Below are 16,907 nucleotides of genomic sequence, written 5' to 3'. Positions count from 1 at the left end.
CAGGAAGGCTGTAACTGTCTTTAATTCTTTGAAGTCTGAGAGGTGAGAAAGCTGCAAAAGAAATGTTTGAAGGTAGCAGAAGTTGGTTCGTGAAGTTTAAGGAAAGAAGCCATCTCAGCTGGGCATGGTGGCTCGCACCTGTAATCCCAGCACTTTGGGAGGCCTAGGTGAGTGGATCACTTGAGGTCAGGAGTTTGAGATCAGCCTGACCAACATGGAGAAACCCCGTCTCTACTAATAATACAAAATTAGCTGGGTGTGGTGGCAGGCACCTATAATCCCAGCTACTCTGGAGGCTGAGGCAGGAGAATCACTTGAACCCAGGAAGCAGAGGTTGCAGTGAGCCGAGATCATACCACTGCACTCCAGCCTGGGACACAGAGTGAAACTCTGTCTTAAGTAAATAAATGAATAAATAAATAAATAAGCCATCTCCATAACACAAAAGTGCAAGGTAAAGCAGCAAGTGCTGATGTGGAAGCTACAGCGAGCTATCCAGAAGATCTAGCTAAGGTCATTGATGAAGGTGGTCACATTACACAACAGATTTTCAGTGTACATGAAACAGCCTTCTGTAGGAAGAAGACACTATCTAGGACTTGCATAGCTAAAGAGGGGAGGTCAACGCCTTGCTTCGAACTCCAAAGGACATACTCTTTTATTTGGAGACAAATTCTCTTGTTAGGAGCTAATGCAGCTACTGACTTTAAGTTGAAACCAATGCTCATTGACCATTCCAGAAATCCTGGGGCCCTTAAGAATTAGGTTAAATGTACTCTGCTTGTGCTCTATAAATGGAAAACCAAAGCCCAGATAATAGCATATCTGTTTACAGCATAGTTTACAAAATATTTGGAGGCCTATTGCTCAGGATAAAAAGATTCCTTTCTAAGTATTACTGCTTGTTGACAATGCACTTGTTACCAAAGAGCTCTGAAGGAGATGCACAAGGAGATGAATGCCGTTTCATGCCTGCTAACACAACATCCATTCTGCAGCACAGGGGTCAAGGAGCAATTCTGAGTTTCAAGTCTTATCATTTAAGACACTTATTTCATAAGGCTATAGTTGCCATAGATAGTGTTTCCTCTGATGCGTCTGGGCAAAGTAAATTGAAAACTTTCTGGAAAGGATTCGTCATTCTACATATATATATATACACATATATATGTGTGTGTGTGTATATGTGTGTGTGTGTGTGTGTGTGTGTGTGTGTATATATATATATATATATATATATATATGGATACAGAATCTCTCTTTGTCACCCAGGCTGGAGTGCAGTGGTGTGATCTCAGCTCACTGCAACCTCCACCTCCAGGGTTCAACCAATTTTCCTGCCTCAGCCTTGTGAGTAGCTGGGATTACAAGCTTACACCACCATGCCCGGCTAGTTTTTGTATTTTTAGTAGAGATGGGGTTTCACCATGTTGGCCAAGCTGGTCTCAAACTCCTGACCTCAAGTGATCTGCCTGCCTCAGCCTCCCAAAGTGCTGGGATTACAGACGTGAGCCACCATGCCTAGCCAGATTCATCATTCTAAATGCCATGAGGACATTCGTGATTGATGGGAGGAGGTCAAAACACCAACATCAACAGGAGTTTGAAAAAAGTTGATACCAATCCTCCTGGATGACTTTGAGGGGGGGTTCAAGAATTCAGAAGAGGAAGTCACTGCAGATGTGGTGGAAACAGTAAGAGAGCTAGAGTTAGAAGTGGAGCCTGAAGATGGGACTGAATTGCTACAATCTCGTGATAAAACTTTAACAAACAGGAAGTTGCTTTTTATGGATGAGCCAAGAAAGTGGTTTCTTGAGAGATGGAATGTACTCCTGGTGAAGATGCTGTGAGCATTGTTGAAATGACACATTCCACTGTTGAATATTCCATAAATGTACTTGATAAGCAGCAGCAGGGTTTGAGAGGATTGACTCCAATTTTGAACAAGTTCTACTGTGGATAAAATTCTATCAAACAGCCTTTCATGCTACAGAGAAATCTATCATGAAAGGAATCAATGAGGAAAACTTCACTGTTCTCTGTTTTAAGAAATTGCCCCAGCCACCACAACTTTCAGCAACCACCACCCTGATCAGTCAGCAGCCATTAACAGTGAGGCAAGGGCTGGGTGCAGTGGCTCATGCCTGTAATCCCAGCATTTTGAAAGGCCGAGGTGGTCAGATTGCCTGAGGCCAGGAGTTCAAGACCAGCCTGGCCAAAATGGCAAAACCCCATGACTACAAAAAATACATTAAAAAAAAAAATAGCCAGTCATGGTGGTGCACACCTGTAGTCCCAGCTACTTGGGAGGATAAGGTGGGAGAATCGCTTGAGCCTGGGAAGTTGAGGTTGCAGTGAGCTGAAATCGTGCCACTGAACTACAACCTGGGTGACAGAGCAAGATTCTGTCCGCCCCCCCCCCACCACACCACACATACACACAAATTGAGGCAAGACCATCTACCAGCAAAAATATTACAACTTGCTGAAGGCAAGATGTTTGTTAGCATTTTTTAATCAATAACGCGTTTTTTAATTAGGGTATGTACTTTTTTTACACACACTTAATAGTCTACAGTAATCATATAATGTAAACATATTTGTCATACATACTGAGAAAACTGAAACTTTGTGTGACTTGCTTTATTGCAATATTGAGTCTGGAACTGAGCCTGCAATATCTCTCTTATGCCTGTATTTTACCTTTTAAAAAATGTATGCACAAGAGGGATATGTAACAAAAATCTACATTCCATTTTGTCCAAGCAAGATCTTTTAAACATATAAAATAGAACCAAGGGAGCAGGGTGAAGAAGAAGAGGCGAGAACGACCCCCCCCGACCGACCAAGCCCACGGGCCGCTGCATCCCACGCCCAGCGCCTACGTCCTGCCACCGTCGCTGCCGATACCACCATGCCCAAGAGAAAAGCTGAAGGGGATGCTAAAGGAGACAAACCCAAGGTGAAGGACGAACCACAGAGAAGATCTGCGAGGTTGTCTGCTAAACCTGCTCCTCCAAAGCCAGAGCCCAAGCCTAAAAAGGCCTCTGCAAAGAAGAAAGAGAAGGTACCCAAGGGAAAAAGGGAAAAGCTGATGCTGCCAAGGAGGGGAATAACCCTGCAGAAAGTGGAGATGCCAAGACAGAGCAGGCACAGAAAGCTGAAGGTGCTGGAGAGGCCAAGTGAAGTGTGTGCATTTTTTTTTTTTTTTTTTTGAGATGGAGTCTCGCTCTGTCGCCCAGGCTGGAGTGCAGTGGCGCAATCTCGGCTCACTGCAAGCTCCGCCTCCCGGGTTCACACCATTCTCCTGCCTCAGCCTCCTGAGTAGCTGGAACTACAGGCACCCGCCACCGCGCCCGGCTAATTTTTTGTATTTTTAGTAGAGACGGGGTTTCACCGTGTTAGCCAAGATGGTCTCGATCTCCTGACCTCGTGATCCGCCCGCCTCGGCCTCCCAAAGTGCTGGGATTACAGGCGTGAGCCACCGTGCCCAGCCCATGTGTGTGCATTTTTGATAACTATGTACTTCTGGTGACTGTACAGTTTGAAATACTATTTTTTACCATGTTTTATAAAAATGCAGAATTTTGTTTTACTTTTTTTTTTTAAGCTATGTTGTTAGAACACAGAACACTTCATTGTTGTTTTGGGAGGACGGGGCATGTGTCACTAATAGAAAGTCTCCGAAGCTGGATCGATGTGGGGAAAACACCTTTCCCTTCCAGTTTTGAGAGACTTCCTCTTGGCTCCCAGGAGGAGGGATTCCCTGACTTTGACACACATGACCACCTTGGCACAAAAGCCTTGTGGTATGGAAAACAAATTCGTTTTTATGTCCTCTTCTCCCTTTCCATCTTTCAGCAGAAAATTAACTCCCTTAAACCCAGACATCTGCTGGGACCTGACCCTCAATCATTGGTTACCAGTGTGTCAGGCAATCTGGACTTTCCAGTGATGCCACTGAGATGGCACCTGTCAAAAGAGCAGTGGTTCCATTTCTAGATTGTGGATCTTCAGATAAATTCTACCATTTTCATTTCACTTTCTGAAAGTCAGGGTCGGCTTGTGAAAAGTTGTTAAACAACATGCTAAATGTGAAATGTCAACCCTCACTCCAAACTTTCCCTATTCAGAGCATGAGATGAAGACTTCATTGGGTTTTATAGTGGCTTTCTGATTTCTGGTAGTCCATTGAAGAAGAGAGTTTGAAAGTTGTTGTATACTGTTAACGATTGTCTGCCCATGTCCTGCCTGAAATACCATGATTGTTTATGGAAAGTATCTTTAATAAAGCTGCATACAGTTTGGCTTGGGAAAAAAAAAAAATAGAACCAAACTCTGTGCAAGTTCAGACTCATGCTGCACCACCAGCATCCACACTGGGTCATCTGTGAAGTCCTTCTCCAAGGCACACAGACAGTTGCTCAGCCTTTGCGTAAGGACAGCCCGGAAGTGGAGGGCAGTTCACTCCCCTGGGGCACCCTCAAGTGGTGGAGGCCAGGGTTGGGTGATAAAGCAAGATCCTCTCTGTGGGTGGACAACTCTGGGAGGTCATCTACATGCTTCTTAGAGGTTTCAAAGGGATTGAGTTTCCGCTGCCACCAGCCCTGACCTCACATTCCCACCCTTCTGTCAGCTTTTCCCTTTCCCTGCCTCTGTCTCTCAAAGCTCTCATGCCTTCATCTTTGTTTTTTCTGTTTTGTTTTGTTTTGAGAGACGGAGTCTTGCTCTGTTACTCAGGCTGGAGTGCAGTGGCACAAACTTGGCTCACTGCAACCTGCACCTTCCGGGTTCAAGGGATTCTCCTGCCTCAGCTTCCCAAGTAGCTGAAACTACGGATGTGCACCACCACACCCAGATAATTTTTGTACTTTTTAGTAGAGACGGAATTTCACTCTATGTTGGCCAGGCTCGTCTAGAATTTCTGACCTCAGGTCATCCGCCTGCCTTAGCCTCTCAAAATGCTGGGGTTACAGGCGTGAGCCACCACACCCAACCACATGCCTGCATCTTTGGATCTCCTCTCGAACAAACTGTACCCAAGTCCCCGCTCAGGCTCTGCATCTGGGCAGACCCAAACTAACACCTATGTGTCCCTTTAGTTCTGGCACTTTACTATAGACACATGACAATCAAGAACTGAGTACCACCTTTCTTACAGGATTACAATTTCCTTTTTTTTTTTTTTTTTTTGAGACAGAGTCTCTCTTTGTCAGCCAGGCTGGAGTGCAGAGGTGTGATCTCACTTCATTGCAACCTCCGCCGCCTGGATTCAAGCAATTATCCTAACTCAATCTCCCAAGTAGCTGGGATTACAGGTGTATTCCGCCGTACCTGGCTATTTTTTGTATTTTTAGTAGAGACAGGGTTTCACCATGTTGGCCAGGCTGGTCTTGAACTCCTGACCTCAAGTGATCCGCCTACCTCAGCCTCCCAAAGTGCTGGGATTACAGGGGTGAGCCACCGTGCCTGGCACAATTTCCATTTTGATGTGATTCATGAACTGCCATATTTTAAAATAAATTTAATTTTTTTAGTATAGTTTTAGATTTGCAGAAAAATTCAGAAGCTAGTACAGTGAGTGCTCATATATCCTGCACCAGTTTTCTCTCCTCTTAACATCTTACATGAGCATCGTACACCTGTTACAATTAATGAATCAGTATTGATACATAATTAGTAACTAAAGTCTATCTGCTTTCAGAGTTCTGTTGTTTCTGACTGATGCACTTTTTCTGTTCTAGGACCTTATCCAGGACACCATATTCCATTTACTAGTCAGGTCTTCTTAGGCACCTCTTGGCTATAAAAGTTTCTCAGATTTTCCTTGTTTTTGATGACGTTGATAGTTTTTCTAGTCAGCTATTCTGTAGAATGTTCTTCAATTTGGACTTGTCAGATGTTTTTGTCTTAATTGTGGTTTGGTTTTTTGGAGGAAGACCAAAGAAGTAAAGCGTCATTTTCATTACATCATACCCAGGGTCTGTACTACCAGTATGACTCATCACTGTTGATTTTGACCTTGATCACCCAGCTGAGATAGTGTTAGGTTTCTACACTATAAAGATACTCTTCCCAGCCAGGCGCGGTGGCTCACGCCTGTAATCCCAGAAATTTGGGAGGCTGAGATGGGTGGATCATTTGAGGTAAGGAGTTCCAGACCAGCCTGGCCAACATGGCAAAACCCCATCTCTACTAAAAATAAAAAAATAAAAAAATTATTGTTGGGTACCTGTAATCCCAGCTACTGGGGAGGCTGAAGCAGAAGAATCACTTGAACCCAGGAGGCAGAGGTTGCAGTGAGCCGAGATCGAGCCACTGCACTCCAGCCTGAGCAACACAGCAAGACTCCAACTCAAAAAAAAGAAAAAAAAAAGGTACTCTTCCCACCTCCCTTTTCATATTGTACACTTTGGAAGGAAGTTGCTATGGACAACCCACCCTTAAAGAGTGGAATATCTTAAGTAGAGTATCTCTACGTTATTTGGAATGCTGCCTGGGCGATGGTCTCTTCTCCTCCACTTATTTATTTATTTATTTATTTCCATTCATATATATATATATGTGTGTGTGTGTGTGTGTGTGTGTATACATATATATGGGTTTCTTTGTGTTTTTTGTTTGTTTGTTTGTTTGTTTAGCTGAAGTTTCGCTCTTGTCACCCAGGCTGGAGTGCAAAGGCGTGATCCCGGCTCACTGCAACCTCCACCTCCGGGGCTCAAGCAATTCTCCTGCCTCAGTCTCCTGAGTAGCTGGGATTACAGGTGCTTGCCACCATGCCTGGCTAATTTTTGTATTTTTAGTAGAGATGGGGTTTCACCATATTGGCCAGGCTTGTCTTGAAATCCTGACCTCAGGTGATCCTCCCGCCTTAGCCTCCCAAAGTGTTGGGATTACAGGTGTGAGCCACGCGCCTGGCAACTTATTTATTCAATCATTTTTTTATCAGTATGAACTCATAGATATGTACTTTATATTTTGGGTTATAATCCAATATTTATTATATTGCCCAAATTGTTCCGGCTTTAGCTATTGGGAGATCTGTCAGTTGGCTCCTGGACCTCTGACGTACTCTCATCATTGTGGTTTTGTGTTTGTTTGTTCAGCAGTTTTTTGTGTTCTGGAATTACAAGATGCTCCAGGCTTATCCTGTATATTTCCTGCTTCAGTTTTAGAATCAGCCATTTCTTCAAAGAGCATTGGTTCCTTTTTTGGAGAAAAATCAAGATCTAAGTGGCAGGTATGTTCTTTGCTACTGGGGTGTCATTCCTCTTTCAGCCTCCCTCAACTGACAGAGCAAGGAAATGTGCGTGTGTATACTACCCAATGCATATACATTACCTAAATATTTCTGTTCATAAGCATCTGTATCTATATTAAACTAAACAGGAGTGGCCAGGCACGGTGGCTCATGCCCATAATCCCAGCACTTTGAGAGGCAGAGGCAGGTGGATCACTTGAAATCAGGGGTTCGAGACCAGCCTGGCCAACACGGTGAAACCCTGTCTCTACTAAAAATACAAAAATTAGCTGGGCGTGGTGGTGGGCACCTGTAATCCCAGCTACTCGGGAGGCTGGGGCAGGAGAATCGCTTGAACCAGGAGGTGGAGGTTGCAGTGAGTTGAGATCACTCCGCTGCACTCCAGCCTAGGCGACAGAGCGAGACTCTGTCTCAAAAAAAAGACAAAACCTAAACAGGAGTTCATAGTGATGACTCCAACTCTAATCTATTACCACATGGATTATTCTCACTTACACTCACCTTTGCCCCCCACTTATCTGTAACCTCTCATGATAACAGTGAGAAACCTGGCTCCCACCATCTGCCATCTATGTATTTAACTGTTCGATTCTCTTTATATGTATAGCAGTGTTACAACTGTTAATTCACACCCATGTGATAAATGACTTTATCAACTAGAGACAGGGCTTGTGTACAGCTTCTTTTGCCCTTCCCCTCATGGACTCATTTCCAGTGCTGCTTAGGTTAGCACATTTCCCCCAGCCCCCTTCTGTGAGGCTGTTTCATACATTTGTAATGCAGTTAGATTGTCTTGCCCCATTCTGCATTTCATCCAGGCATTCCCCAAACCCTCTAAAGATTTTTTGAAATTTGCATATATTAAGATTCACTCTTTGTGCCATGAAGTTCTATGAGTTTTGACGAACCCCTATTACCATCTCTCCACCATTATTGTATCATTCAGAATAGTTTGACTCCCTAAAAGTGCCATGTGCTTTACTTATTCAACCCTTCCACTCTCCCCTGAACCCCTGGTGATCACTGATCTTTTTACTGTATCTACAGTTTTGCCTTTTCCAGAATGTTATGTCTTAGTCCATTTAGTGTTGCTAGAAAGAAATACCAGAGGCTGGGTAATTTATGAAGAGGTTTATTTGGCCCACAGTTCTACAGGCTATACAAGAAGCATGGCACCAGCATCTGCTTCTGGTGAGGGCTTCGGCCTGCTTCCACTCATGGTGAAAGGTGAAAGGAACCAATGTACAAAGATCGCATGGCGAGAGAGAGGGGAGGGAGGTGCCAGGCTCTTTTTAACAACCAGCTGTCACGGAAATTAACAGAGTGAGTACTCATTCCATTGTGCATACCCCCTTCCCTTCCAGGGAGGGTGTGTTAGTCTGTTCTCATGTTGCTATAAAGAAATACCTGAGACTGGGTAATTTATAAAGAAAAGAGATTTAATTGGCTCATAGTTCAGTTCTGCAGGCTGTACAGGAAGCATGATGCTGGCATCTGCTTCTGGGGAGGCCTTAGGAAGCTTCCAGTCATGGCAGAAGGCAAAGGGGGAGTGAGGTGCCTCACGTGGTGGGAGCAGAAGCAAGAGAGAGAGTGAAGAGAGAGGTGCTATGCACTTTTAAACAATCAGATCTTACAAGAACTCCCTCACTATCAATTGTGAGGACAGTACCAAGGGGGATAGTGCTAAACCATTCATGAGAAATCCACCCTCATGATACAACCACCTCCTACCAGTCCCCAACTCCAACACTGAAGATTACAATTGAACATCATGGGATCTGGGCAGGACACAGATCCAGACCATATCAGAGGGTATTAATCTATCCATGAGGGATCCACCCCCATGACTTAAATTCCTCCTATTAGACCCCACTTCCAACACTGGGGTCAAGTTTCATCATGAGGATCAGGAGATAAATATCCACATCCCCTTTCAGACTGGCTCATTTCACTTAGCATCCGTTTTGTGTGTGTGTGTGTGGTTTGATAGCGCATTTCCTTTTGAAGCAGATACCATTGTCCTGATATACCACAGTGTGTTTATACATTCATCTATTGATGAATGTTTTGATTGTTTCCAGTTTTGAGCGATAATGAATAAAGATGCTATAAACATTTGTGTGCAGGTTTTGTGTGAACTTAAGTTTTCAAGTAGTTGGGTAAATACCTAGGAGCATGATTGCTGGATCGTATGGTAAGACTATTAAGAGTGTTATCTATTTATGTTTACTGTGATTACTGTTTTAGATTTCCTTCTAAAATCTTATTTTGGACTTTCTAAGACCTGCTTTTCTGTTTCTTTTTATTCTTCCATCTGGTCTTCTTTTGAATTAACTGAGATTTTTTCCCCCATTACTTTCAAAGTTATACACTCAATTTTTTTTCTTTTACTGTTACCTTGAAAAAAATATTTTTAACATGCATAAGTTTGCCAAACTCTTGAATACTTTGTAAAGGTCTAAGAATGCTTGAACTCCAGTTTATCCTCCTTCAGCTTGTGTACTCTTTTGTCCTGTTTTTTAGTTGTATTTTGTTCTTTATGTCCCAAAGAAGACAGACTTTGCATTACTATGTGAAGTCAATGTTCATTAAGATTTCCATTCCCCTTTTTTGGCCAACATGCTTTCTTGAACCTTAGACCTTACATCAGCTCATCATCTTTCTGCACAAAGCAAATTCCCTTTTTTTTTTTGGACGGAACTTCATTCTTGTCTCCCAGGCTGGAGTGCAGTGGCACGATCTCAGCTCACTGCAACCTCCGCCTCCCGGGTTCAAGCGATTCTCCTGCCTCAGCCTTGCAAGTAGCTGGGATTACAGGTGCCCACCACCACATCCGGCTAATTTTTGTACTTTTAGTGGAGATGAGGTTTCACCAGGTTGGCCAGGCTGCTCTTGGGAACTCCTGACCTCAGGTGATCTGCCCACCTCGGCCTCCCAAAGTGCTGAGATTACAGGTGTGAGCCACCACTCTTGGCAGCAAATTCCTTAACTTTCCTTTAGTGAGTGTCCATTGGTGACAAACACATCTATTCTATGTCTGAAATGTCTATTTCACCTAGTTCATTCTAGTTCATCCCTACAATACAGCTTCACTGGCTATAAACAACTTTGGGTTAAGAGCTGCTTTTTCCCTTAAGCCATTGATGACACTATTCCACTGTCTTCTGGCTTTCCTTCCTGCTGTTGGGAAGTCAGTAAGCCTCATCGTTACTATCTCATAGGTGGTCTGACTTTTGTCACTGCCTGATATCCTGCAGCTTCAATATATATGGAGGTATGGATTTATTTTATTTAACTCACTTGGGATGTGTGTAAGTTTCCAAATCTGTGAATTGGTGGCTTGCATCAATTCTGGAAAATGTCTTTATCTTTTCAAATACTTTCTACTTCCAGTTCTCTCCTAAAGTTTATCTGAGACATGCAAGAAAACCTCAGTCTTCCACATCTTTTTTCTTAGCAAATTAACACAAGACCACATTTTTTTTTTTTTTTGAGATGGAATCTCGTTCCGTGCCCAGGCTGGAGTGCAGTGGCGTGACTATCTCAGCTCACTGCAACCTCCACCTTCCAGGTTCAAGTGATTCTCCTGCCTCAGCCTCCAGAGTAGCTGGGACTACAGGTGTGCACCACACCTGGCTAATTTTTGTATTTTTAGTAGAGACAGGCTTTCACCATGTTGGCCAGGCTGGTCTCAAACTCCTGACTTCAAGTGATCTGCCTGCCTCAGCCTCTCAAAGTGCTGGGATTACAGGCGTGAGCCACCACACCCAGCCAGGATCACAGATTTTAAATGTAACATTTAAAATTTGTCCCACCCATTTGACCCTGTGCTTCGGGGGAATTGGCTCTGCTTTCTAGTTCATTAATTCGCTGTTCTGTTAGTTATTTTTTTAAGGAATTCATTTTTATCTAAGGTACTCTTTTTTTTTACACTTTTATATAACATAAAAAACTTTTTTATACGTTTTTACACTTTTATATAACATATAAAAAACATTCATCGTATATTTTATGTCTGAAAATTCCTCTCTCCTGTCTTTGCAGGTCTGGCTGTGCTGTCTGTTTTCTGCTGGCTTTCATTCAGGATGCCTTATCTGTGGCATCCTGTGATTTTGTGGGTTTGTGATATTTTTACTAGAAGCTCATGTTCTTGGAGCTTCTAGGAGAGAGTTTGAGGCTAAATCAAAGGTGTGTTCTAGCATAGATACGCAGTTGCTTTGGCTATGAGCTCAGAGGTACTACCAGCTTAGGGCATCTTTTTCTTTTTTTTTTTTTTTTGAGACGGAGTCTCGGCTCACTGCAAGCTCCGCCTCCCGGGTTCACGCCATTCTCCTACCTCAGCCTCCGGAGCAGTTGGGACCACAGGCGCCCGCCACCACGCCTGGCTAATTTTTTGTATTTTTAGTAGAGACAGGGTTTCACCATGTTAACCGGGATGGTCTCCATCTCCTGACCTCGTGATCCACCCGCCTTGGCCTCCCAAAGTGCTGGGATTACAGGCGTGAGCCACCGCACCCGGCCTTTTTTTGGGGGGAGGGGGGACAGAGTTTTGCTCTTGCTGCCCAAGATGGAGTACAATGGCGCAATCTCAGCTCACTGCAACCTCTGCCTCCCAGGTTCAAGTGATTCTCCTGCCTCAGCCTCCCAAGTAGCTGGGATTACAGGTGCCCGCCACCACGCCCAGCTAATTTTTTGTATTTTTTAGTAGCAACGGGGTTTCACCGTGTTAGCCAGGATGGTCTTGATCTCCTGACCTTGTGATCCGTCCGCCTCAGCCTCCCGAAGTGCTGGGATTACAGGCGTGAGCTACTGTGCCCGGCTGGGGCTTTATCTGTGGAGAGCATTTGAGGCTAAATCAAAGGTGTGCTCTAGCATAGATATGCAGTTGCTTTGGCCGTGAACTAAGAGGTACTACCAGCTTAGGATGTCTTTCTTTCTTTCTCTTTTTTTTTTTTTTTTTTTTTTTTTTTTAGACAGAGTTTTGCTCTTGTTGCCCAGGCTGGACTGCAACCTCTGCCTCCCAGGTTCAAGTGATTCTCCTGCTTCAGCCTCCCAAGTAGCTGGGATTACAGGCGCCCACCACCACGCCCAGCTAATTTTATATTTTTAGTAGAGACAGGTTTTCACCATGTTGGCCAGGCTGTTCTGGAACTCCTGACCTCAGATGATCCACCCTCCTCGGCCTCCCAAAGTGCTAGGATTACAGGCATGAACCACCGCGCCCAGCCTAGGGCCTCTTTGAGAACCTGGTTTGAGAGGATTTTAGACCTGATGTAGCATGAGAATTAGAACTACAAACCTGCATGAGGGAAGGCTTGTAGTTGGCATCTCAGAGACAACTATGTTCTCTTCCAGCTAGTGCCAGTTTCCCCTAACACTGAATGCAATCTTTTGGGATTCCAGCTGTTTGCACAGAGACTTCCTAATCAGACCCCCAACTTAGGCACTCCCCACGCTAATCCCCTGTCACCTGGGCCCCACAAGTCCATCCTAATAGAAGCACAGCATCACTAAGATTTGGTTTGTATCCCTAGGGAGAAAAGTTGAATGCCCCCTTACCTTCCTGAAGTTCTGCTTTCACTTTGTGTTTGGCCTCTCAGAATGTTTTCCTTTCTTACCAACTCAGTGAAACAGTTAAGAACATAACATTTAAAAATAAGTTTTCTCCAACAGCTTGAGTCATCATCAGGTGGGTTTTTTAGTGTTCCTCAAGTGCTGGAAATGGAAGTCCAAAAGCCGGGCCCATGAAGTTACTGAAAGGCAATGGTGACAGCTAGAGGCAGGGAATACAGAGTACTCTTGTGTTATGTCAAGTAATTCAGCATCGGGCAGTAGAAAGCTAGAATGAATGTTTTGTTTGAGGTTTTCTTTGACGGGTGGTTTTATCAGGAAATGCATCAGCTGCTACTAACAGAGACCAAGACGGAAGTTACGTCTTTCCTAATGACAGAAGTCCAGAGAGGACAGTCAAGGGCTGGGATATAGTGGCTCCACAGCATCTTTGGGAATATTGTCCTTACTGCTTTGCCTCTATGTATAAATACCTCACGGCCCACGCAGGCTGCAGTCGCATGCACACTTCCGTCAGAAAGTAGAAGGAAGGGGGTTAAGCCCACAAAGGGCACATGACAGTTGTCTGTTCCTCCTAGTAGCAGCTTGCCCAGAACTGAACTCCCAGCCAACCACCCACAGCTCAAGAGAGGCCGGGGTTTACTCTTCCAGCGGGTCCCATTGCCACTGGAGTAGAGGGGGAGAATCCTGGATACTGGTGGGCAACCAGCACTCTCTGCCACAGGACCCTAACACTGTTACTACCTGAAGGCCCCATGTCCAGGGAGAAGCGGAAATCAAGACGGATGATTACTGAAGCAAAGAATGGGGTAGAGAATGTGGTCAAAAGCAGAGAGGGAGGGAGGGGACTTGGAAACAGGCACATCTTCACTTGAGACTGACAGCCACCTGTCTCTAAGGTTATATCTGTGAGTAATAGCTGGTTTCTGTAAGCAGGACAAAAGCACTTTCTTTTTTTTTTTTTGGAGACAAAATTTCACTCTTGTTGCCCAGGCTGGAGTGCAGTGGCGCAATCTTGGCTCGCTGCAATCTCCACCTCCCAGGTTCAAGCACTTCTCCTGCCTCAGCCTCCCAAGTAGCTGGAATTATAGGGCGCTACCATGCCCAGCTAATTTTTGTATTTAGTAGAGATGGGGTTTCACCATGTTGGTCAGGCTGGCCTGGAACTCCTGACCTCAGGTGATCCACCCACCTCGGCCTCCCAAGGTGCTGGGATTACAGGTGTGAGTCACTGTACCCGGCCCCTTTCATGGGAGCATGTTTCTCACGCAGGCGCTGCAGTCACAACACTTGTTGCCTGCCATACCTGAAAGGTAGTTGGTCAAGATTTGGGATTATAGGCTGGGCGCGGTGGCTCACACCTGTAGTCCCAGCACTTTGGGAGGCCGAGACTGGTGGATCACGAGGTCAGGAGATCAAGACCATCCTGGCTAACACGGTGAAACCCCATCTCTACTAAAAATACAACAACAACAAAAAAATTAGTGGGGCGTGGTGGAGGGCGCCTGTAGTCCCAGCTACTCGGAAGGCTGAGGCAGGAGAATGGTGTGAACCCAGGAGGCGGAGTTTGCAGTGAGCCAAGATCACGCCACTGCACTCCAGCCTGGGCAACAGAGCAAGACTCCGTCTCAAAAAAAAAAAAATATATATATATATATATATATATATTTGGGATTATATAAGAAGGTTGAGTTTAAAGCTGGAGGTAATAAATGCCAAAAAAAAAAAAAAAAAAACTTTTGGCCCTCCCTGATGACAGAGGGACACCCTTCTAAATTGCCCTTCCATCTCTCTCATAGATGCCTTTCATAGCCAGCAGAACTGTTTTTTTTTTTTGTTGTTTTTTTTTTTTTTGAGACAGAGTCTCACTCTGGCACCTAGGCTGGAGTGTGCAGTGGTGTGCTTGGCTCACTGCAACCTCCACCTCCCGGGTTTAAGTGATTCTCCTGCCTCAGCCTCCCAAGTAGCTGGGATTACAGGCGTTGTGCCACCATGCCCTGCTAATTTTTTGTATTTTTAGTAGAGTTGGGGTTTCACCATGTTGGCCAGGCTGGTCTCAAACTCCTATCCTCAGGTGATCTGCCCCTCTTGGCCCCCCAAAGTGCTGGGATTACAGGCATCAGCCACCTCGCCCAGCCCAGCGCAACTTTCTGAAGTCCTTCTGAACCACCAGGAAGCGGCTCAGCTGTAGGTCTCTGCAGAAGCAATGACTCAGGGCGTGAGAAGGTGAAGTTAGGTGTGCAATGAAGGAGGTGTATGTCATCTATCCACATCCTTTCTCTCCTCCACAAAAGAAGGAAGTATTTGATTATACAATCCTATCAATTTCACTATTCCCAATCATTTATTATCCCAATTTTCTGGAACCATTTCCCACCAATCACTTAAGAAAGGGCTACCCCAGCCGGGCACAGTGGCTCACAACTGTAATCCCAGCACTTTGGAAGGCTGAGGCGGGTGGATCGCTTGAGCCCAGGAGTTTGAGACCAGGCAGGCAACATGGTGAAACTCTGTCTCAACATAAAATACAAAAAAAAAAAAAAAAAAAAAATTAGCCTGGTATGGTGGTGCTCACCTGTAGTCCCAGCTACTCAGGAGGATGAGGTGGGAGAATCGCTTGAACTTGGGAAGTTGAGGCTGCAGTGAGATGAGATCATGCCACTGCATTCCAGCCTGGGCAACTGGAGACCCTGTCTCAAAAAAAAAAAAAAAAAAGTGGGGGCGGGGGGGTGGCTACCTAGCACCGGCTTAACCTTTCCCCACAACCCTTCCCTCCAAGCACAGAAGACAGCTTCCAGGTGTCCTTGTGTCCCCCACTGGTCACTGCTGTGTTCCTGCTGTGGAACTGGGGGAACTCAGTGCTTAAGCACCAAGTCTTACACCTCTGTCGTATCACTAATGTGCCAAAGGAATTAGAAAGAAGATAATAGTATTACAGGGAAGTCTCCGAGAATTAATCAGGGCTCATTTGCCAATGCCACAGGCACCTGAGCTTTTGCTGTGCTCGAACTAAATGCCTTCATCTGGTGTGCAGACAAAATTATGAGGTGCAGTTTTCACACTTTGATTGAAGTGGCACAGCTAATAATTTAGAATTAGATCCTGTGTGGGCTTCATAGTGGACTCAAGCTCTTATCTGTCACTGTGGACGCTGCCCCCTGTTCATGCACCACCTTTTTTTCTTTGTAAATGTGCACATTAAGGCTCTCAGGCACATGCAGAATTGAACTTTCCACCTTTGCTCTTCCCTCAAGATCTCATGTCAGCTACCAAGACCAAAATCTAAGAAGGTAGCTCTCCTACAAACCCCACGGAACCAGCATCCAAGTAAGAGGACTGACCAAATTTGTTCCAACCCTGCAATTCCATGAAACACTTTCAAAGTACACCACCAGGGAATATGTTATTGGCAGTGCTGGCTCTAGTGTATGTGGGCGGGGTGCAGTGACTCACACCTGTAATCCCAACATTTTGGGAGTCGAAGATGGCAGGATTACTTGAGCCCAGGAGCTCAAGACCAGCCTGGGTAACACAGGGAGACTCCATCTCTATTTAAAAAAAAAAAAAAAAAAAAGGAGGGGGTGGAATCCAAATATCTAAGACAGATACTTCTGATAAAATGGGTCCAAGTTGCTTGTCATTCTTTGAATTAAAGCAAAAATAAATTTTACAACATAATCTAAAAGAAATCCATGCTGATTCTTATTTCAGATTCAAACCAGCACTAAGTAATACATCATTCAACACAAATATCAGAAAATAATATTTCCTAATTGTTCAGTATCAATGTTTGTTAAGTGAGAAATACAGGATCTGGCTCACAAAACATCTTGATACGTTGTTTTTTCATGTCATATGGGTAATGTGCCAACAGCCTAACGATATTTGAGGGGGGCACATCTCACATACGTGATCGTACTTATGAACCACAAAATGAGTTTATTAACAGTTTATTTATGTGTATGCTTATATATTTCCATAAATTTAATGTCTTCTTATAGTAATCAAAATTAGTTAACAGGCCAGGCATGGTAGCTCACACCTGTAATCTCAAAACTTTGTGAAGCCGAGGCGG

At 44.5% G+C, this 16,907-nt stretch overlaps 2 pseudogenes; both read right to left on the bottom strand.

Moving 5' to 3' along the window:
- HMGN2P22 (high mobility group nucleosomal binding domain 2 pseudogene 22) lies at positions 2,783 to 3,201 on the bottom strand (annotated as a pseudogene).
- LOC124906187 (uncharacterized) lies at positions 16,682 to 16,770 on the bottom strand (annotated as a pseudogene).
- Between the last annotated feature and the right edge of the window lie 137 nt (positions 16,771 to 16,907).

The sequence above is a fragment of the Homo sapiens genome, chromosome 2, assembly GCF_000001405.40.
Source record: "Homo sapiens chromosome 2, GRCh38.p14 Primary Assembly".
In the NCBI taxonomy this organism is placed as follows: domain Eukaryota; kingdom Metazoa; phylum Chordata; class Mammalia; order Primates; family Hominidae; genus Homo; species Homo sapiens.
This window is presented reverse-complemented; position numbering and strand designations above follow the sequence as displayed.